The 23,461-nt window shown below is 38.9% G+C and overlaps 1 protein-coding gene across 11 annotated transcripts in view, besides 1 other annotated feature; it reads right to left on the bottom strand.

Moving 5' to 3' along the window:
• The window catches only part of TTC28 (tetratricopeptide repeat domain 28), a 701,827-nt gene that overhangs the window by 220,553 nt on the left and 457,813 nt on the right, over window positions 1-23,461 (bottom strand). The gene's annotated exons all lie outside the window — the stretch shown is intronic.
• Window positions 10,297-11,496: an enhancer, noted in NCBI's record as "CDK7 strongly-dependent group 2 enhancer chr22:28604851-28606050 (GRCh37/hg19 assembly coordinates)". NCBI's record gives its function as "activates an origin of replication core promoter dependent on BRD2, BRD4, P300/CBP, MED14 and CDK7 cofactors, with strong dependence on CDK7, by STARR-seq in HCT116 cells {active_cell/tissue: HCT116}" and the evidence as "EXISTENCE:reporter gene assay evidence [ECO:0000049][PMID:35650434]".

Here is a 23,461-nt window from a genome sequence, read left to right on the forward strand (position 1 = left end):
ATCAGTTAAGATAGTGCTAGCTGCTATAACAAGCACCAAGATTTCACTTAACACACAAAGAAAGTTTGGTTCTCCTTCATGAAGCAGTTCAAGGTGGTGCCAGATTAACAGGGAAGAACAGGCTGGAGATAGGGCCCGGTTCCACACACGTATTGAGACTCAAGCTGCTAGGAGCTCTGCCATATTTATTTGGTAACTTACAAAGTTACCCTTAGTGTTGGTATCCACCTAGCAGTTGGAAAGAGCATGGATGATTACAACAGGGAAGTCTTTTATGTGCCAGGTCTAGAAGCAGCAAAAATCACTTCCACTTACATTCTATTGTACAGAACTGAGTCACAGGCCACAAGTACCTGCAAAGTGGGGTGGGAAACAGTCTACTCATGACTCCAGAAAAAAAGAGAAAACAGGTTTGGTAAACCAATAGTTCAGTCCCTGTCAGTGTCACAACATAATGTTAAACAAAAAGAGTAGTTTAATACAACTGTATGTGCAATGCAATCCAAATCTTTCTTTAAAAGCATATTTCTAGAAGTAATATCTTGTAACCCAGTATTTCTATTTCTAAATACACTCTCTAGAGAAATACAGAGGAACATGTACAAAGATATTTAAAAATCTAAGAAATGGCCTAAATGACCATAAAGGGAACTGACTGACTAAAATATTGAAAACTCATATTCTGGAATACTATGCACAGAAGAAATAAGGTAGAACTACATAAACTGAATTGGAAATATCCCTAAGGTATACTGGTAAATGCAAAAAGCAAGAAGCAAAACAATACTTAAAGTATAATGCCACTTACATTAAAAATTATATATATATATATATATATATATATATATATATATATGTAACTATTCCAGGAGTTCAAGGTTTCACTGACCATGATTGTGCCACTGTACTCCAGCCTGTGCAACAGAGCAAGACTCTGTCTCTTCAAAAAAAGAAATACCTATACATATATATATATATATATACACACAAACACTAAATTATTTGTGTGCATGTGCACTGTGTATGTGTATGTGTATGTGTATGTGTATGTGTATGTTCATAAAACAAGCTCTGGAGGAGGGTTTGTGACAGTGACACTATTAACATTTTGGGCCAGACAGTTATCTGTAGCAGGAGATGTGTGGAGAGTTCTGTGCCTTATAGGATGTTTAGCAGCATCCCTGACCTCTACCCACTAGATGCCACTAACAAGTCTTACTGTCTTCAGAAGAATATACACTAAATGAACAAAAGTGTTACTCTGGAGGAAAAATGGGAGAGGGGCAAAGGGTACATTCATTTTATCTGTAAAGTTTTGAAAACTTACCAGGAGAATCTATCCATGTATTTGCTATATAATTTTTACTTTTTAAAATGTCATAAGTAAAATACATAAAAACATTAACAATAATTATCTTTGAGCCATGAAACTATAGGTGACATTTGTTGTTCTCTATATATTTTCTATAAATATGTATTGTTTAAGAAAATTAAAAAGAAATAAAACTTTATTTTTATAAAATAAAAGAGAGACAGAGTCTCGCTATATTGCCCAGGCTGGAATACAGTGGCTATTCACAGGCGTGATCATAGCGTACTACAGACTTGAATTCCTGGGCTTAAGAAATCCTCCTTGCCTCAGCCTCCTAAGTAGCTGGGACTACAGATGCATGCCACCATGCCTGGCAGTAAACTTTTATCATTGAAGGAAAGGACAAAGATTTAAAAAATACAAATTCTCAACAGTGCTTACAAATGGGAAATAAAATGACATGTCATTTTTGTTTGCCTTTTGATTTTTGCTTTACAAATTTCCTACAACAGCATGTATTAATTACAATTCAAACAGTTTTATTTTCTTTGAAAAAATCCTAGTCTTAATACATCTGAATTAAAAAGAATGGCCCCAAAAGAATAAATTAGGACCAAATGGAGTGAGAGATAGTGTTGGTACCTGGCTCCCCTCCATAAGACAGCTGGAAATCCTAGCTACAGAGATCAACCACCATAGTTGGGAAAGAAAAGTTTAGAACTGGGGTTTAGAATCGGAGGGCTAGATAGATAGCTCCACTGAGAACATAAGAGCCATAGGAGAATGTTCATTACATGTGTAACAAACAGGTGGAATACAGTCTTGAACACCTTCTCCAACTAGCAATTAAGGAGCAGAATGGACAGAATGTCAAGTTGGGACACTAGAAATGGCCTAGGAGCACTGCTAGGTAGGAGCAGGATTATAAACCTCTGCTGAGACAAGCCCCTGATAATAGGTTCTCAAAGACTTGCTATACTTGGATTTATAAGCAGAAAGCTATATTGTGTGCTACTATCTAAATAAGTAATATTTTTGTTTTTATATTTAAAAAGCACACTTACATTTCTTGGGAAATCTCTATTGTTCTTGTTTTCCCATTTATAAAGGAAAAATAGTATTCATTCAGTCCTCACTACGTGCCAGGCAGTTTATGTCCATTGGCTCACTTGTAACTCACAACACATTAGAGTTGGATAGTGTTATCTCACTTCAGAGGTTGGAAAACTGAGGGTCAATCAGGTCATTAACCAAGAACACACATTGAGAAAAGTATAGGAGAAGGACTTGATCAATCTTAAAATTCATTCATTCATTCATTCATTCATTCACTCAACCAAACCAACATGTATTGAGCATCTATGATCTGCCAGTTAGGCTGCAGATATAAGTGACCATGATGCACTCTGTTTTCATTAAATGTGCAGGGCGAGAGTAGAGCACAGACTTCAAACACGAAATTATAATACAAGTTTGATGAAGACTGGAGAAGGGCAGCTGAGGTCAAAACACAGCAAGAAGACTTAACCTTCTTAGGGTGTCAAGGAAGGCTTATCAGAGAAACTGAGATTTAAAATGAAACCTGAAGAATCAGTAAGAATTAGAAAGGATACTTAGAGCAAGGTGAAGGGGAAGAAGGACAAGAAGCAAGAGATAAGAGAGCATATGGAACTTTCAAGTTACTAAGGAAATTCAGTATAGGTGAGGCATGAAATGCAACTTCAGTTGCAGTAACAGTGGTGAGAAAGAAAATGAGAGAGGATGGCAGCAACAGCCAGGGGAGTTCTCAAAAGGGAATATAAAAGACTGAAATAAGCAAGGAAAAAAGAGTGTGGTCTAATTTGGGTTTGTGAAAGATCTGATTACAGAAAGCAAAAAAAAAAAAAAAAAAGAGGGGAGCCAGTGTGAACACAAAGAGAGATCAGTTAAGAGGCCATTTATGAGGACTAGGTGAAAGAGAGGAATACAGCCTGAACAGGGGTGATGGCCCTGGGAATACAGAGCTGTGAATAGACATGAGGAATATTTAGGACATAGAATTGAATGAAATTAATATTTGTACAGAGCTTCAGAAGCCAAATGAAATAGCCTACTATGAGTACCCATCATATGCTTCACTCTTTACAGGTCATCTTTAACTGCCACAACAATCTTAGGAAGTAGTCTTATCCTCATTTCACAGAAGCAGCAGAGGCTCAGAGAGGTTTAGTAACTTGTTCTCAGTCTCAGGGTATCAAGTGGCAAGGCTGAGATTCAAATCTCAGTCAGTCTAACTTCAGAGCCCAGGTTCTTTTCAAAATATCGTACTGCGTTTGAGTAGATTCAGAAACTTCAAAATCATGCTTTTATTCAAGAGCTTAAAAACAACAGAAACAAGGCCGGGTGCAGTGGCTCACACCTGTAATCACAGCACTTTGGGAGGCCAAGGCAGGAGGATTACTTGAGGTCAGGAGTTTGAGACCAGCGTGGCCAACATGGTGAAACCCTGTCTCTACTAAAAATACAAAAATTAGCAGGGCATGGCAGCAGGAGCCTGTCATCTCAGCTATTCAGGAGGCTGAGGCAGGAGAATCGCTTGAATCTGGGAGACAAAGGTTGCAGTGAGCCAAGATCGCACCACTGCACTCCAGCCTGGGGAACAACAGCGAGACTCTGTCTCAAAAAAAAAAAAAAGAGAAACAAGAATAGGTAGAATTTTCTTTGAATCATCATTCTGTATCTTAGATTTATAAAGCTATAAAGATGTCAAACTAGCAGGGACCTTGGTCATCAGAAAACCACAGAATTTTACAGCTGGCCTAGAGAGACCTTAGAGGTGCACGCACTGTCTAGCTCTTCCCTTCTTCCAATGCAAATGCCACCAAAGCTTTCTATCTGGTAATTTAGGCCTGGTTTTGTTTTTCATCTTTTGAATGTTTCAAACAGAGAAAGTATAAAAAATAACATAAAATACCCATAACCCAGCTTTAACAAATTTTAACATTCTTCCACATTTGTCTCAAATTTTCTCTTCTTTTTTTTAAAGAAAAATAAACACTACGGATACAGTTTATTCCTTCCTTCCCTTTACAGAGTGACCAGAATGCTAAATTGGATGTTTACCACTTTTATGAACATTTGACACGATTATTGTATAGTATGAATACATAAAAATGGATAGTTTTGTTTTCCAATTTTATATAAATAATAACATACTGTATACATCCTTCCGTAGATATGGTTTTCTATGCTTATTTGCGCATATTAAATTTTTTTAGTGGAAAAAAAACATGGTAAAGTGAGGCAAACATGGACTTTAGAGTCAGTCAGAAATTGTGGCTTTTTCATGTAGGCCCTCAAGCAAGTCACTGAATCTTCTGGAGCTTGTTTCTTGATTTGTAAAATAGGGGTAAGGACCTACCACCTTGCAAGGCTATTGAGAAGTAGAAGATAGTACCTATCTTCAGGCCTGCCACAAATATTCAATAAATGTTAACTATTATTTGTCACATAAAATAGTACACACTCAAAAAATGGTAGCTATTTTTATTGTAACCTGTAAATGTTCTTCATATCTGTTCAGGAAATTAAGTCTTACAATGGCCCTAAGGTCCCCAGTGCCTGACTGTGCTCATATAAAAGGAAGTGTGATAATTTCCAGGTCAAGTCTTTGTGAATTTTTATGAACTCCCCTATCCAGCTGGGCTTGGCTTTTTTATTTTCATAGCAGAATTAAACTACCAATTCTTAGATTTCTACTGAATGCCATTCTATATCCCTGTGATCAGGAGTCTAACGTGCAGAAGATTTTTTAAAGCTTAACTGTATTCTCCACCCCCAACCACTCCCACCCACCTGCCTCTGTGGATTAACACCATCTCAGTACAATTTTGTTATCCATAAATTTATTAAGTGTTCATCTTAATTTTCAATAAAAATGCTAAACTCAGGCTCAGGAATGACACCAGCAGAAGCACCACTGTTTATGTTATCTCTGCCTCACTCATCACAAGGAGACTGATGTTGTGCCTTCCAAAGGTCATTTGATTATGTTATTGTTATGTTAAAAACGAAAACACAAAAAAGCAAAAGAAAATATGTTTATTCATTGCCTTATTGTTAATACCTTGATCCCACTCCTTATACCTACCTCTGCCTGTCAAAACTTCACCCATTCTTCATGATTCCTCTCAAGTGTAAACCTTTTCATAAAATCCATCCTGACTTCCCCTTCCCATAGGGGCACTCTCTCTCTTCTGAATGCCAAAGCATGTGTCTGTTGCATAGACTTCAGCAAATAGTTTATCCCTATGTATCCCGGATTAAACCGCAAGCTTCCCCAGAGAAAGACATCCCACTCTCTTCTCTTCTAGGCACTTAGAACTGAACTCAACAACTATTAGGAATTAATACACTGTGATAGGATATCAGCCAATATGCAAACCATCACTGACACAGAGAGTAGGGCAACCTGCTTATTTTAGTGGTCACATGGATTCAATATCTCTGTCTAAACGGTAATAGTAATAGCTATCTTTATCAGGAGACTGTCCTGCCTGGTCCTTTACATGCAGTAGTTCTATTCTCATATTAATCCTGCAAGAAAAGTGAAACTGTCCACATTTTCCATATTGCACTGGAACTGTAATTCAAATCCAGCTCCATCTAACTCTGAGGCCTATGCTCTTTCCACACCATGTGTCCAATACCATAAACAGTAGCCTGACTCTCATCACTCCGTGAAAGACTACCCTGCCACACAAGGAACATAATGATTAAGTAAATCAGGATGCCCTCACACACAGCCAAACAGTAATTCATTAAAAAAACACTTAATCTTTGCCACAGATTCCTAAGCCTCCAGTTATACCATCCCCCAGAGAAAATCCCAATCCATTTGGGATATTAATTATGATAAAAATGTATTAAATACTCATAAATGTTAGACACTACAGGGAACACTAGAGAAACACAGCCATGTATCTATGCTTTCATTCAAAGAAAATTAAATGTCTAAATGATGAGGACTCCTGGTAGCAGTAAATATACTTTATTACTTGCATATTCCCTGTCCTTGTCTTAAAGCTGGTTATTATTTATCTAGTCTCTTGATTTTTGGACCAAATGCCAAAATCTCATATATGTTTCAGGTAAAATACGATCTTAGCAGAGGAGCATACAACCAACTCACTATCAGCCTTATCTCCATCATAATGGTCCTTATGAAATATTACCTATAGTGTTTTCATGTTTCTTTATTCCCTCTTAGACTGAAACAGGGAATAAAAATAGCCTAAACCTTTTAGATGAATACAGTGAAGATAAAGAGATGCTCTTTTGTTTTAACGCAACACACACACACACAGAGACCGGGGGGAGAGAGGGAGAGAGAAATGACTCCATTCAACCTCATTTACTTCTCCATAGTAAAGTTAGACATTTTTTCCTTATAAATATCCTCAAATTTCTATGGCCTATTTTTCCCAGAGCCTCTGTTAAAGGTGGTGCAGCACAGTCATTAATACACATGACCAAACCAAAAAAGATCATGGGCACCTGAAGCCCAGACTACAATTTACACCTGATGATAATTCTGCCAACTGCCCATACTCCAGGGTCAAGTTGATATGAAATTTTAATAAAATGACACTTTCATCTAGTAGTTTCCAAAGGACTGAGTGAAATGAGATTAACATAGAAAAATGTCAGACTGGTGAATGATTGACCTATTTGGCTAGTATGAATTAAATGAGAATTTTCAATGATGATGTCAAATGAACAACAGAATTAAACATTTGATGGGATAAATATATATAAATTAAATTTCTGAAAGCAGGGCCAACTCTGAAATGAAGGTATGATTTCTCAGATAGGGGAAGGAGCCCACATAAACACAAACCTTTTCCTTTCCCCGTCCATGAATTCCTTTTATGAGCCACATTTATTTCACCATTAGAGATCAGACTTAAAATAGAAATAATACCCTGGAAGAAGTAGCACATTGATTTTCATGAAATAACATTGATTTCCACCACCCCTCCACAACTGATTCACACTAAGGTTTAAGTATCTGATGAACAGAAAAGGCTTATTACAGGCCCCGGCTGCACAAAACCCTATGTAGCCATGGGGTGTCAAAAAAAAAAAAAAGGAGACATTATTGAAAATTGGGAAAGGCAGAGGTTAGAGTCCTAGCAGCTAAAGCAAAACATTAAAATTCTGCCCAAGTCCCCAGGAAGCCAGCTTGCAAAGTCTACTCCCATGATTATTCTAATTATGCATTGGGTCAGCTGTGAGATACTCTGCAGTAATTGCTAATTAAAATACAACAGCCAATGATCACAGACTGGTAAGTGATGATAAATGTATGCATTTAAAGGAAGAAGGGAGAAACTTAAGAAGGTTGTGGTTAACAAATGCTCTGGCCCCCTCAAATTTCTTCTTATAAAATATTCATTCACTATGGGCTCTGACACAAGTTATGGTCCTACACACCTCCCGATCTTCTGTTTAATTCTGTGGAGAAATGACGAAATATGTCCACTTTCTAATCATCTTTCAACTATAATAACATTAGATGCTAATTACAGTATTTGTGCTAGCCCAAGAAGCAGTTAAGTGTCCAGAGCCAGTTCAAGAGAACCTAGTTTATCACGTTGCTCAGACATTAGGCTATAAAGGAAAGGTTAGCCTACTTTGCTGATATACAAATCTGGTTAATATGTCCCTTGTAGTAGATGAGCTCTGATTAGTATTTTATCTGTTAAATCATTTAAGAACTAGGAGCTACACTTTGCCTTGACTAGTACTAGGGTTTCATGAACAAAAGAAATGGGTCCTCTCATTAGGGGTTTGAAAAGTCACTGAATTTTGGCTATGGGAGGCCAGGAAAAGAAAACATGTATTTCTACTCTAGGAGCCACACTACATTCTAGCTGCCATCCTCATTAGTACTTTACTCAGCACTATGGAAAGAAAGCCATTCAAAAGTAATTTAAGTGCAACTGACTCACGTTGTTACAGATAATGGGGAGAAGTCCGTACCTACTCCGGACGGAATCGGGTGGGGGTAGGAGGTGGCAAAGACAGTAAAACTCGAAGGACAAGAGAGACTAGTCAGGACAAGTAATTCATTCCAACATTTCAACACTGGATAATATAAAATGTTATTAGGAAGGTAAATTTGGGATAATCCCTCAAATGTAAATGACATTTAGATTGTCCCAGCTGAGGATTATCTATCACCAAGGTTATCTACAAATTGAATATAGTACCCTTAAGGGGAAAATACTGAGTGCAAATAACTGACAAGCCACTAAGCCCTTCAAAAAGAATGCCACTTGATTTCAAGGGGGCTAAGCAGATGGAAAAAAAAAAAAAAGCACAAAAAAAAACAGGCCTTCAATAAATAGTTCTTTATAGCTGTGATATCATTCTGGGTTAATTTATCCTAAAAATCACTACAAGCATTCCACTAGAGGAACATAAAAAGATTTGAAAAACACTGACCCAAAAACACTATGCTTGGCTACATGGCAGAATAAAAAGGGCAAGGGGCCACCTTTGGAATTAGAAAGATGTAGAAATGAATCATGGCTCTACTATTTAATATGAATGACCTCAGACAAGTTACTAATCCTTCCGGGCCTCAGTTTATTTGGGCTATAAAATGAGGCCAACAATATCTGACTCTTACAGTTTCTTAACTATGTAAACCCATAATGGAGTACCCAGAACATAGTAAGCGTACAGAAGAAAAAGATTTTTCTAAACTCAGTATTAGAACCATCAAAATCAGCATCAAAGGATGGGCTTTAGAGACACTGGAGAGCTAACGCAGAGACATGATCCAGGGACACGTGGGAATGGTCTCTATTTTCTCTCCTTCAGGGAGGATTTGGCCTTGCTCACACTGATCCTGGTAGAGGATCCAGGAGAGCCCCATGTTTATAAACATGTACTTAAATGAATCACATAGACTGTAAATGTTAAGCTCTTCAGAAACGGTGATAAAAAATCCTAAAAAGGGTGTGGAGTATGAGGTACTCAATATGGCAGAACTTGACTCGCATGAGGTTTGTCTCAAGAAGCTGTGCACCCTGTGGGCAAGGGGCAAGAAAAACTATATGCTGCATCTATGACTACTCTGTGCAGCTACCTCATTTCTACAAGTCCTATACCTATGATCACTAAACCCAGAACCTATAGTAGGTATATGCTTTTAAGTATGCGTGTAATCTCTTCCCACCATTTTGTAACCTGCCCAAAATGCTGCAAGGTGCTTGAATACTTGCTGAATGAATAAAGGACACATAGGTTTCCCCAGGAAGCACACACTAAATACACAAACCCTAATTTCGTAATGACTAAAGGCAAAGTAATTTAGTATTAGTCAAGCCTAATGGTGCCTTGCTGTGGTTCAGACCTCATTATCACACTTCACCAGCCCTGGTAAAACTCTACACTGCATTAGTCTCTTCATCCATATAGTATGCAACTAAAAGAACATAAATGGCAGAGACTCCTAGAATAGCTGTAAACTTACAGGGTGGGTTGGTGAAAACAGCACCACTCCAGAAGAATCAAGAGAACCAGGTTCAAGCCCCAGCTCTAAGTCTCAACAGTTTCTAACCTTTTCCTGACGTGAGCCAGAAAACAAGGAAGTTCAAAGATCTGGGAATCTAGGAATAAAAATGGCCTAACATTCACATATGACCATATCTACCCTATGGCTTACCAGTCATAGCAATAGTCCTCACTCATACAATGATAACTTGCCTTTTGCTCTATATAAATTACTATGCTATGAATTCAAGCTATCACAATCAATCCATGGCCTTCCAAAATATAGTATTTTAACTATATATATATGTGCATATATTTTTTCCAAACCTTCAAAGATGAAGAAAAGTTGTGGTCAACACCTGGAACTGACTCCGAGAAATGATAGATCTGAAACCAATTTCGGCCTCTGGGAAGAAGTCTGTCAGAAAATTCTGTGCTCAGATTTTAGGGTGAAGTTGCTTATTCTCTACATATTAGAGGGTCAATCTCCAATCATTCAGAAGAGCAACTGCTCATTGGAATCATCTGGGATCTGCCAGAGACAATTACTTGAAAACCACTGACTAAAAACAGGTCAGCTGAATTAAAAGGTTTTTCATACAGCCCTGCAAACAGCCTTAGCATACATCAAAAGGCCATTGTTCTCATACTTTCAAATTTTCATACTCTATAGATCACCTACCACTAAACTAGCTCAGAGACATTAGAAAACTGGTTGTACTTCTCTGCACTTCAGTCTCCTTAGCTATAAGAGAGAAGACTGGGATGGCCGAATAGGAACAGCTCCAGTCTACAGCTACCAGCATGAGCGACACAGAAGATGGGTGATTTCCGCATTTCCAACTGAGGTTGTTGGACTGAGGCTTGCTGGAGAGTGGGTGCAACCCACAGAGTGTGAGCCAAAGCAGGGCGGGGCATCGCCTCACCCAGGAAGCGCAAGGGGTCAGGGAATTCCCTTTCCTAGCCAAGGGAAGCCGTGACAGACCGTACCTGGAAAATCGGGACATTCCCACCCTAATACTGCGCTTTTCCAACAGTCTTAGCAAATGGCACACAAGGAGATGATATACTGCGCCTGGATCAGAGGGTCCCACGCCCACTGAGCCTCACTCACTGCTAGCACAGCAGTCTGAGATTGAACTGCAAGGCAGCAGCGAGGCTGGGGGAGGGGCGTCTGCCATTGCTGAGTCTTGAGTAGGTAAACAAAGCTGCCCAGAAGCTCGAACTGGGTGGAGCCCACCACAGCTCAAGGAGGCCTGCCTGCCTCTGCAGACTCCACCTCTGGGGAGCAGGGCATAGCTGAACAAAAGGCAGCAGAAACTTCTGCAGACTTAAACTTCCCTGTCTGACACTTTGAAGAGAGTAGTGGTTCTCTCAGCACGGAGTTTGAGATCTGAAAACACACAGACTGCCTCCTCAAGTGGGTTCCTAACCCCTGAGTAGTCTAACTGAGAGACACCTCCCAGTAGGGGCCGACTGACACCTCATACAGACAGGTGCCCCTCTGAGACGAAGCTTCCAGAGGAAGGATCAGGCAGCAACATTTGCTGTACTGCAATATTTGCTGTTCGGCAGCCTCCAATGGAGATACCCTGGCAAACAGGGTCTGCAGTGAACCTCCAGCAAACTCCAACAGACCTGCAGGTTAGGGTCCTCAGTGTTAGAAGGCAAACTAACAAACAGAAAGGACATCCACACCAAAACCCCATCTATATGTCACCATCACCAAAGACCAAAGGTAGATAAAACCACAAAGATGCGGAGACACCAGAGCAGAAAAGCTGAAAATTCTAAAAATCAGAGTGCCTCTTCTCCACCAAAGGAACGCAGCTTCTCGCCAGCAATGGAACACAGCTGGATGGAGAATGACTTTGACAAATAGACAGAAGTAGGCTTCAGACGATCGGTAATAACAAACTTCTCCAAACTAAAGGAGGATGTTCGAAGAAAAGAAGCTAAAAACCTTGAGAAAAGATTGGACGAGTGGCTAACTAGAATAAACAGTGTAGAGAAGACCTTAAATGACCTGATGGAGCTGAAAACCATGGCATGAGAACTACGTGACACATACACAAGCTTCAGCAGCCGACTCAATCAAGTGGAAGAAAGGGTATCAGTGATGGAAGAGCAAATGAATGAAATGAAGCAAGAAGAGAAGTTTAGAGGAAAAAAAGTAAAAAGCAAGGACAACAGCCTCCAAGAAATATGGGACTATGAGAAAAGACCAAATCTACGTCTGATTGGTGTACCTGAAAGTGACGGGGAGAATGGAACCAAGTTGGAAAACACTCTGTAGGATATTCTCCAGGAGAACTTCCCCAACCTAGCAAGGCAGGCCAACATTCAATTCAGGAAATACAGAGAATGCCACAAAGATACGCCTTGACAAGAGCAACTCCAAGACAAATATTGTCAGATTTACCAAAGTTGAAACGAAGGAAAAAATGCTAAGGGCAGCCAGAGAGAAAGGTCGGGTTATCCACAAAGGAAGCCCATCAGACTAACAGCTGATCTCAGGACAGAAACTCTACAAGCCAGAAGAGAGTGAGGGCCAATATTCAACATTCTTAAAAGAATTTCCAACCCAGAATTTCATATCCAGCCAAACTAAGCTTCATAATTGAAGGAGAAATAAAATCCTTTACAGACAAGCAAATGCTGAGAGATTTTGTCACCACCAGGCCTGCCCTAAAAGAGCTCCTGAAGGAAGCACTAAACATGGAAAGGAACAACCGGTACCAACCACTGCAAAAACATGCCAAATTGTAAAGACCATTGATGCTAGGAAGAAACTGCATCAACTAACGAGCAAAATAACCAGCTAGCATCATAATGACAGGATCAAATTCACACATAACAATATTAACCTTAAATGTAAATGGGTTAAATGCTCCAATTAAAAGACACAGACTGGCAAATTGGATAAAGAGTCAAGACCCATCAGTGTGCTGTATTCAGGAGACCCATCTCACATGCAGACACACACATAGGCTCAAAATAAAGGGATGGAGGAAGATCTACCAAGCAAATGGAAAACAAAAAAAGCAGAGGTTACAATCCTAGTCTCTGATAAAACAGACTTTAAATAAACAAGGATCAAAAGAGACAAAGAAGGCCATTACATATTGCTAAAGGGATCAATTCAACAAGAAGACCTAACTATCCTAAATATATATGCACCCAATACAGGAGCACCCAGATTCATAAAGCAAGTCCTTAGAGACCTACAAAGAGACTTAGATTCCAAACAATAATAATGAGAGACTTTAACACCCCACTGTCAACATTAGACAGATCAACGAGACAGAAAGTTAAAAAGGATATCCACGACTTGAACTCAACTCTGGACCAAGCAGACCTAATAGACATCTACAGAACTCTCCACCCCAAATCAACAGAATATACATTCTTCTCAGCACCATATCGCACTTATTCCAAAATTGACCACATAGTTGGAAATAAAGCACTCCTCAGCAAATGTAAAGAACAGAAATTATAACAAACTCTCAGACCACAGTGCAATCAAATTAGAACTCAGGATTAAGAAACTCACTCAAAACCGCTCAACTATATGGAAACTGAACAACGTGCTCCTCAATGACTACTGGGTACATAACGAAATGAAGGCAGAAATAAAGATGTTCTTTGAAACCAATGAGAACAAAGACACAACATGCCAGAATCTCTGGGACACATTTAAAGCAGTGCATAGAGGGAAATTTATAGCACTAAATGCCCACAAGAGAAAGCAGGAAAGTTCTAAAATTGACACCTGAACATCACAATTAAAAGAACTAGAGAAGCAAGAGCAAACACATTCAAAAGCTAACAGAAGGCAAGAAATAACTAAGATCAGAGCAGAACTGAAGGAGATAGAGACACAAAAAACCCTTCAAAAAATCAAGGAATCCAGGAGCTGGTTTTTTGAAAAGATCAACAAAATTGAGAGACCGCTAGCAAGACTAATAAAGAAGAAAAGAGAGAAGAGTCAAATAGATGCAACAAAAAATAATAAAGGGGATATCACCACCGATCCCACAGAAATACAAACTACCATCAGAGAATACCAGAAACACCTCTACGGAAATAAACTAGAAAATCTAGAAGAAATGGATAAATTCCTCAACAAATACACCCACCCAAGACTAAAACAAGATAAGAAGTTGAATCCCTGAATAGACCAATAACAGGCTCTGAAATTGAGGCAATAATTAATAGCCTACCAATCAAAAAATCTCCAGGACCAGATGGATTCACAGCCTAATTCTACCAGAGGTACAAAGAGGAGTTGGTACCATGCCTTCTGAAACTATTCCAATCAATAGGAAAAGAGGGAATCCTCCCTAACTCATTTTATGAGGCCAGCATCATCCTGATACCAAAGCCTGGGAGAGATACAACAAAGAGAATTTTAGACCAATATCCCTGGTGAACAACGATGCAAAAATCCTCAATAAAATACTGGCAAACCGAATCCAGCAGCACATCAAAAAGCTTATCCACCACGATCAAGCTGGCTTCATCCCTGGGATGCAAGGCTGGTTCAACATACACAAATCAATAAACGTAAGCCATCATATAAACAGAACCAAAGACAAAAACCACATGATTATCTCAATAGATGCAGAAAAGGCCTTTGACAAAATTCAACAGCCCTTCATGCTAAAAAAAACTTTCAATAAACTAGGTATTCATGGGACATATCTCAAAATCATAAGAGCTATTTATGACAAACCCACAGCCAATATCATACTGAATGGACAAAAACTGGAAGCATTCCCTTTGAAAACTGGCGCAAGACAGGGACGCCCTCTCTCACCATTCCTATTCAACATAGTGTTGGAAGTTCTGGCTAGGGCAGTCAGGGAAGAGAAAGAAATAAAGGGCATTCGATTAGGAAAAGAGGAAGTCAAATCGTCCCTGTTTGCAGATGACATGATTGTATATTTAGAAAACCCCATCGTCTCAGCCCAAGATCTCCTCAAGCTGATAAGCAACTTTAACAAAGTCTCAGGATACAAAATCGATGTGCAAAAATCACAAGCCTTCCTATACACCCATAACAGACAAACAGAGAGCCAAATCATGAGTGAACTCCCATTCACAATTGCTTCAAAGAGAATAAAATACCTAGGAATCCAACTTACAAGGGATGTGAAGGACCTCTTCAAGGAGAACTACAAACCACTGCTCAACAAAATAAAAGAGGTCACAAACAAATGGAAGAACATTCCATGCTCCGGGATAGGAAGAATCAATATCATGAAAATGGCCATACTGCTCAAGGTAATTTATAGATTCAGTGCCATCTCCATTAAGCTACCAATGACTTTCTTCACAGAATTGGAAAAAACTACTTTAAAGTTCATATGGAACCAAAAAAGAGCCCGCATTGCCAAGTCAATCCTAAGCCAAAAGAACAAAGCTGGAGGCATCACGCTACCCGACTTCAAACTATAGTACAAGGCTACAGTAATCAAAACAGCACGATACTGGTACCAAAACAGAGATATAGACCAATGGAACAGAACAGAGCCCTCAGAAATAATGCCGCATATCTACAACCATCTGATCTTTGACAAAACTGACAAAAACAAGAAATGGGGAAAGGATTCCCTGTTTAATAAATGGTGCTGGGAAAACTGGCTAGCCATATGTAGAAAGCTGAAACTGGATCCCTTCCTTATACCTTATACAAAAATTAATTCAAGATGGGATAAAAGACTTAAATGTTAGACCTAAAACCATAAAAACCCTAGAAGAAAACCTAGGCAATACCATTCAGGACATAGGCATGGCCAAGGACTTCATGTCTAAAACACCAAAAGCAATGGCAACAAAAGTCAAAATTGACAAATGGGATCTAATTAAACCAAAGAGCTTCTGCACAGCAAAAGAAACTACCATCAGAGTGAACAGGCAACCTACAGAAAGGGAGAAAATTTTTACAATCTACTCATCTAACAAAGGGCGAATATCCAGAATCTACAAAGAACTTAAACAAATTTCCAAGAAAAAATCAAACAACCTCATCAAAAAGTGGGTGAAGGATATGAACAGACACATCTCAAAAGAAGACATTTATGCAGCCAACAGTTACATGAAAAATTGCTCATCATCAATGGCCATCAAAGAAATGCAAATCAAAACCACAATGAGATACCATCTCACACCAGTTAGAATGGCAAACATTAAAAAGCCAGGAAACAACAGATGCTGGAGAGGATGTGGAGAAATAGGAACACTTTTACACTGTTGGTGGGACTGTAAACTAGTTCAACCATTTTGGAAGACAGTGTGGTGATTTCCCAAGGATCTAGAACTAGAAATACCATTTGATCCAGCAATCCCATTACTTGGTCTATACCCAAAGGATTATAAATCATGCTGCTATAAAGACACATGCACACGTATGTTTATTGTGGCACTATTCACAATAGCAAAGACTTGGAACCAACCCAAATGTCCATCAAGGATAGAATGGATTAAGAAAATGTGGCACATATATACCATGGAATACTATGCAGCCATAAAAAAGGATGAGTTCACGTCCTTCGTAGGGACATGCATGAAGCTGGAAGCCGTCATTCTAAGCAAACTAAAGCAAGGACAGAAAACCAAACACCACATGTTCTCACTAATAGGTGGGAACTGAACAATGAGAACACTTGCACACAGGGTGGGGAACATCACACACCGGGGCCTGTGGTGGGGTTGGGGGAGGGGAGAGGGATAGCATTAAGAGATATATCTAATGTAAATGACGAGTTAATGGGTGCAGCACACCAACATGGCACATGTGTACATATGTAACAAACCTGCACGTTGTGCACATGTACCCTAGATCTTAAAGTATAATAATAAATAAATAAATAAAGAAGACTGGATCAGATGGTCTGCATGGTGCCTTCCAGCACTGAGTTTCCATGCTCATTCACTACTGCAACCTCTGTGCTACTATCTCACACACTATGAAAAGAAGGTAGAGGTTCCAATGATGGATCATATTAATTGGGTTTTGCTGTGAAAAATAATGCCTGCTCTGCCCTCTCTGTTCCTTGCTTCCTTATTTGGTGATAAATTTTCTTCTGTATAAAAATAACTTCATTATGGAATTCATCTCTATGGAAATAAAAGCAAGCTTATCTTGACAAATCTCTAAAATGATTTTAAAGCATGCACACATGGTGTGTGTGTGTATGTGTGTGTGTGTGTATGTGTAAGAGAGAGGATGTGTTTGTGAATGTAGGTAAGTTGGTGTTGAATCAGAAGACTAGGATCCTAGTGATGTTCTATCGCTCATATGCAAAATGAGGACAAAACCATCTTCCTTACTGATCTTATGGTTACTATAACAATCAAATGAAATAAGCATGGGAAAATATTTTTAAATCATTAGGAATGGTGCAAATATAAGGCATGTTTTTATTAACTTTTCTTAGTCTTAGGTACAATGGTTTTCTTGAAATCAGAGAGAAAAAAGCCATATTTGCACAAAGTACAGGCTAATTAAATTTTGACTTGCTTAAAAATTAAATACCAAAAAGTACTGTGAATGAAAAGCATCCTACACCATGTTACAGACATTTGTTAAGCCCTTACTGTATAGCAGAACCTATAGGGCTAGGCATTTGAGACACAATTGCCTAAATTCTGAGAGGAGATGCACTTTGGGTCACTCACTGCTCCATCCTCAGCCTCCAGCACAGCAATGAGACAGAGAGGTACTCAACATTTGCAGAATGAATGAATGAGAAATGGTCTCTGTCTTTGAAAGGCTTAGAGTACACTATGAAGACCTGGCATATAACTAGTATAGTAGCTATCATAGCTGATTTGAAAGAAGTCCATATCATCAGGGCATGAAGGAAGGAGTGGTCAATTCAACTTGGACTATGTTCAATGAGTGGGAGTGCAAAGAAAGTAAGAAAAGCCTTCAAAGAGGAGGTAAGCTTGGCCTGAACCTTTGGTGCACAAATTCATTAATAAGTCTAACTCTCCTTCAGCCATAAGGTATTTGGAGTGAGAGACATGTTAACACATGAGTTATGTGTTGTAAATTGGGGAGTAGTAAGGAATAGATTGTGTTTATATCATCTTTGCTACACGTAATTCTAGTGAACTGAATTTACATGACAGTCTCATTTACATACAAAGGAAAGGTTAAAAAAACAAAGCAAGAGGTAGTCAATAAGGAGGAAAGGATATTGACAACATTTACAAAGGTGCAGCAATATCATAGTCATTACTGATCCTGAGGTCCTCTAATGATGTTGATGACAATAAATATTTTTTTAGTTTGAAAAAAAATTTTTTAGAGACACAGTCTCACTCTGTCACCCAGACTGAAGTACAGTGGTGTGATCACATCTTACTGCAGCCTCAATCTCCCAGGCACAAGTGATCCTCCCACCTCAGCCTTCCGAGTAGCTCAGATCACAGGCGCATGCCACCATGCTTGGCAATTTTTTATTTTTTGTAGAGACAGGGTCTTCCTGTGTTGCCCAGGCTAGTTTTCTCCTGGGCTCAAGCGATCGTCCTTCCTCAGCCTCCCAAAGTGCTGGGATCACAGGCATGAGCCACCGCACCCAGTCTTATTTTCAATAATAAACATTTCATGTGATGAAACGTTTAGCTTCAGTGTGGAGAAAATAACAAATACCCTCAGATATAGGCAAGAGATTTGCTGCAACAAGTTACAGCATATTCATTAGGTGGTATTAAATGGTCCAAGTCAGAGAAGCCATCTCTCCTAATAGCTGAGTGTTAATGACTACACAAGATACACACTGCATATCAAAAGAGCTCATGTACCCTATCAATATATATACCTACTATGCACATGCAAAAAATAAAAATAAAAAACTGAGTGCCAGAAACATCTAGATTGCCAGAAAAATCTATAACTGACCTAACAATAAATTCAGACATGAATATCCAATGAGTTTTGCCATATACCTATTACATCAGTTCAGCCAAGTCACATCTAATTTATGGATTCCATTTAGTATAAAGGAATTGTGGCGATAGAGGAAAGTGATAACTGTATATAATCTCCTAATATCAGGAAATTTATTTTCCAACAGCAAAATCAAGGCTAACAGGATAAAGGCAAAGCACATTTATTGTCATTAGTGAAATGATATGCATCTTTAAAGTGACTTATCAAGTTAGTCTGCTTATAATATTTTATTTTAGTTTCAGCATAGGCATGTAAGAACAAGAAGCAGCACAGTATAATGCATCAGTTCTAAAAACACTTTTTAGTCTCAGGATCATTTATATACTTAATAAGTACAATTCCAACAAACTTTTGTTTATGTGGGTTATGCAGTACATAACAATGTTTAATGTATAAGACATTAGAATTTTTGAATATTTGTTAACCCATTAGAATTACAAATCCTTTACATGCTAATATAAATAACACATTTTTATGAAACATATATCCTCTAAAACAACAAAATAAGGAAAGGAATGGCATCACTTTACACTTTTTAAAATCCTTAATGTTTTTGCTTAATAGAAGACAACTGGATTTTCTTATCTGCTTCTGCATTTAATCTGTTGAAATATGTTGTTTTGGTTGAAATATATATTTTTAAAAAACAGCCTCACATAGATATGTAATTGGAAAATAGATGATGTGAATATCATTCTTTACCATTATACCAAAACTTGACACGTGCTTTTTTAAGGTTAGCTGCAATGTGGAATTTAAGACTATATCAATGAACTTTCTGTACTCTGTTACTTTCAAATGCATTGGTTTATCTTGCACTTTCAGTGGCTCTTTTGCCCACTCATAATTTTATAACATTATGCATTGGCTATTGGAAAATATTGTTCAGTAAGGCTACAGATCTTCCAAATGTTGACAATTTCATTATACAATATCAAAAACTCACCACCACTTCATCAAGAAAATAAGTGTTGGGAAGTTGTCAAGCTCTCACAGTCACGGTGGTAAATACAAGTTTCCCCAAACTCTATCTTTCCCTTAAAAGCATGAATTGGCAGCAAATACTGTTTTCCTTGAAGTGACAGGCACATTCATTCAGTTTTTTTCACTCATTCAGTTTTGATAAAATTTCTCCAAATATTAAGTCTGCAAAAACCACAGTTTTCTTCAGTCATTCTTTCACATAAAAAAAAAAGTTCTATAAAAAAATACCCACTCAGTTCACAACTCAAGTGCACAAGCGCCTTTCTTTTAGACAACCAGTGATTAGTTGGTATGCAACACAGGTGCTTTACATGTACTACCCATTTAATCACTGCAAATACTAAAAAGATCTACTCAAGGGTTGAGATTTATTAAAATTAATGCTTATAATAGCTTCATTGAGGACATTTTTAAGTCAAACTGGCTCTCCCACCCCACCCCACTCCAGCCCTTTTAACTTCAAGTTTATGGCAGTCAAAAATACAATGACTTCTAGTGCAGCTTGGTGCCACTGTCCAGATTCATGTTAAGGCTCCAGCAGTTTTTCCCACCATTACTTTTATACCGTCAGTGCAAACACCAACACAGTAAAAAAAAAAAAAAGACAAATAATATCTTAGTATTATTATGAAAATAGTTGTGACCTCATGGATTCCCTGAAAGGATCTCAGGAACCCCAAGGAATCCATGAACCATACTTTGAGAACCACTGATGTCATGGAAAGACATTTTTGAAGTCAGTGGGATTAAGTTCTGACTCTGAGACTTACTAGCTATGTACTTGGGCACATTACTTAACGTCTCTTGGTCTTGCTTTGCTCACTTAACAAAAATAAAGAAAAAAAAAATACCCACTTCGTCTGGGCGTGGTGGCTCACGCCTGTAATCCCAACACTTTGGGAGGTCGAGGCAGGTGGACTGCCTGAGGTCAGGAGTTCGAGACCAGCCTGACCAACATGATGAAATCCTCTCTCTACTAAAAATACAAAAATTAGCCAGGCATGGTGGCAGGCACCCGTAATCCCAGCTACTCGGGAGGCTGAGACACGAGAATCGCTTGAACCTGGAGGCAGGGGTTGCAGTGAGCCAAGATCGCACCATTGCACTCTGGCCTGGGTGACAGAGGGAGACTTTGTTAAAAAAAAAAAGAAAAAAAAAACAGCCATTTCATAGACCTACTGTGGAGAAGCTCATAGGAGATGCAAAACAAGTAGCAAAGTACTCAGTAGGTGTTCACGAAATGTTATTTTTAACTCTCCCCTACGTAAAATAAGAGATTATCCCATTTTGACACCTAACCAAAGATCAAGAGAGGTTAAATGACTGACGATCAAAAGAACAAAATGGGAAAATTAATATGAGAATGATGCATAAATAACAGATCAACCTAATACTGTTATGAAACTGAGAGATTTGAAAAATGCGTTAGAAAATGTTTGTATTTTCTGCCAGTAAACCTTTGTGAAGTGTCTCAGTTTCAAAAGGGATGACAAACATTCATCCTGAACCATTTATCACTATACTTTAGACACCACTGACACCTTTTGAACACTCTCAAGAAAATCTTTAAGAGTTCTTTTATTTTTTCTTTGTCCTCTATTACACACAAGGTTACACTCAACAGAGTCTCTGTGATTCCAGAGTTTTCCTACTGCAGCTGCTGGATCCCATCTGGTGTCCTTTATCTAGGACACCTGTTTCAGGAATAAGACAATTAAGGTGATGAACCAATTCCATGTAGAAAATAGCAATTTCCCATTTCCTTAGGAATGTTAGTAGGAGAGAGAAAAATTGTTTGATAAAGCACAATTACACATCTAATTACCAGATGCTAAGCATTTAGCCAGAACAGATATTCTAATTGCTGTATGTTGTTTTGCTCCACTGAGACATTGTATTAGTTATCTATTGCTGAGTAACAATATTTCCACAGTTTCAGTAGCTTAAAATAACACCCATTTATTATCTCACAGTTCTGTGAGTAAGGAGTCCAGGCATAGCTTCACTGGGTCCTCTGCAAGGCTGCAATCATGGTGTCAGCTAGACCTGGTTCTCATGTGGAGGCTTAATTTGGGGAGGATCTGCTTCCCTGCTTGTGCAGTTGTTGACAGCATTCAGTTCCTTGCAATTGTAGAACTGAGAGCTTCAGTTTTTTGCTGGCTGTCAGGGGAGACTGCCCTCAGCTCCTCAAAGCCACCTGAAGTTCTTTGCCACATGGGGTTCCCCAATATAGCTACTTGCTACCTCATAGCCAGCAAGGGAGAGAGAGACTCCAGCAAAATGAGGGCTACAATCTTACATAATCATATACACAAAATAATGTACATTCTGTCACTTTTGCCATGTTCTATTGGTTAGAAGCAAGTCACAGGATCCATCCATACTCAAGGGAAACGGATCACACAAGGGCATGAAGAAAGGCAGGAATCATGGGGCCCACGTTAAGAGTATGTTTGCCACAGACATGCTGGAGCATGTAGTGTGACTAGTAGAGAATAGGAAAAATTTGAAACAAGCCAAGAATAGGGTGAGGAGAATGAATGAGCTTGACAGTATGGAGAGAAGGAATACAGGCCTAGTATCATCTAAATCTATATCCATAGGGAGGCAACAAATGTGGATAAAGGTGAGACAATACAGATAAAGAAGTCTGATTTGGTAGGTTGTATACAACTTTAAGAATTAACAGGGACTCACAACGAGCAGGTGACGATGGTGTGGCTCCAGGAAAGTTGTTAGTTGGAGCAGGATCCCAGCATGCAGCTGGAATATGGAAAGAAGAATACGGGCCCTAGGAGGAGGAAGAGGACTGATAAGAGACAGACTCAGTGTCTGGACTAGCTCCAGTACTGGGAATTGGAAGGCTAATCAGAAAAGCAAGCAAAAGCCCAGTCACAAAAACCAGGAGAACAAGGATAGAGTGAGGGTCCAGTTACTGAGCTCAGGGAGCTTATGAGTGTCTGGACATACCACAGTTTAGGGTAGCAAGACTAATTCTAAATTCCAATAGCTAATAACCCAGGGTTACCTTTGCTCCAGAGACTCACCTGGTCAGGGATTGACTAGGTGAAGCTGAACTTTAAGGTATTGGTGTTGGGAGCTAAGCAAGAGAAGACAAGAACTGGCTTTGATAGTTTCTCATTGCTTAGGACACTGGGTAGATTCTAAATCCACAGTATGGTATGAACCCCATGATAACACAGCCTCAGTCTGCCCATCTAGTCTTGTCCCCCTGCATGCTTGACACTCCTTAGACTGAAACCACTGGAACACCCTGCTGTGTCCTAAACAGGGCACGGACTTGCATGCTTCTGAGACAACCTCTGTTTACTTTCCCTAAAGTGCCCTATCTCTTCTGCCTCTAACTAGAGAATTCTACTTAACTTCTAAGGACCTAGTCCACATGTTACTTTTTCTGTGAAATGGGTCCACTGTCCAGACCTCTACTGTGGCACTTATCATCAAGTTATGATTGTTTATTCTGTGTGTCTTCAACCTAACAGACTATGAATATGAGAAGGAAAAGACCATATCTATCCATTCAACTTTGTATCCTTTGAACCTGGAATAGTGGCTGGCATTTAGTGGTTACTCAATAAAAATTATTGAAACAAATGCAGGAAGTAGTTAAATAACGCTTTACTGATCTTGCCTTAGGA

Source organism: Homo sapiens, chromosome 22 (assembly GCF_000001405.40).
Source record: "Homo sapiens chromosome 22, GRCh38.p14 Primary Assembly".
Classification (NCBI taxonomy): Eukaryota; Metazoa; Chordata; class Mammalia; order Primates; family Hominidae; genus Homo; species Homo sapiens.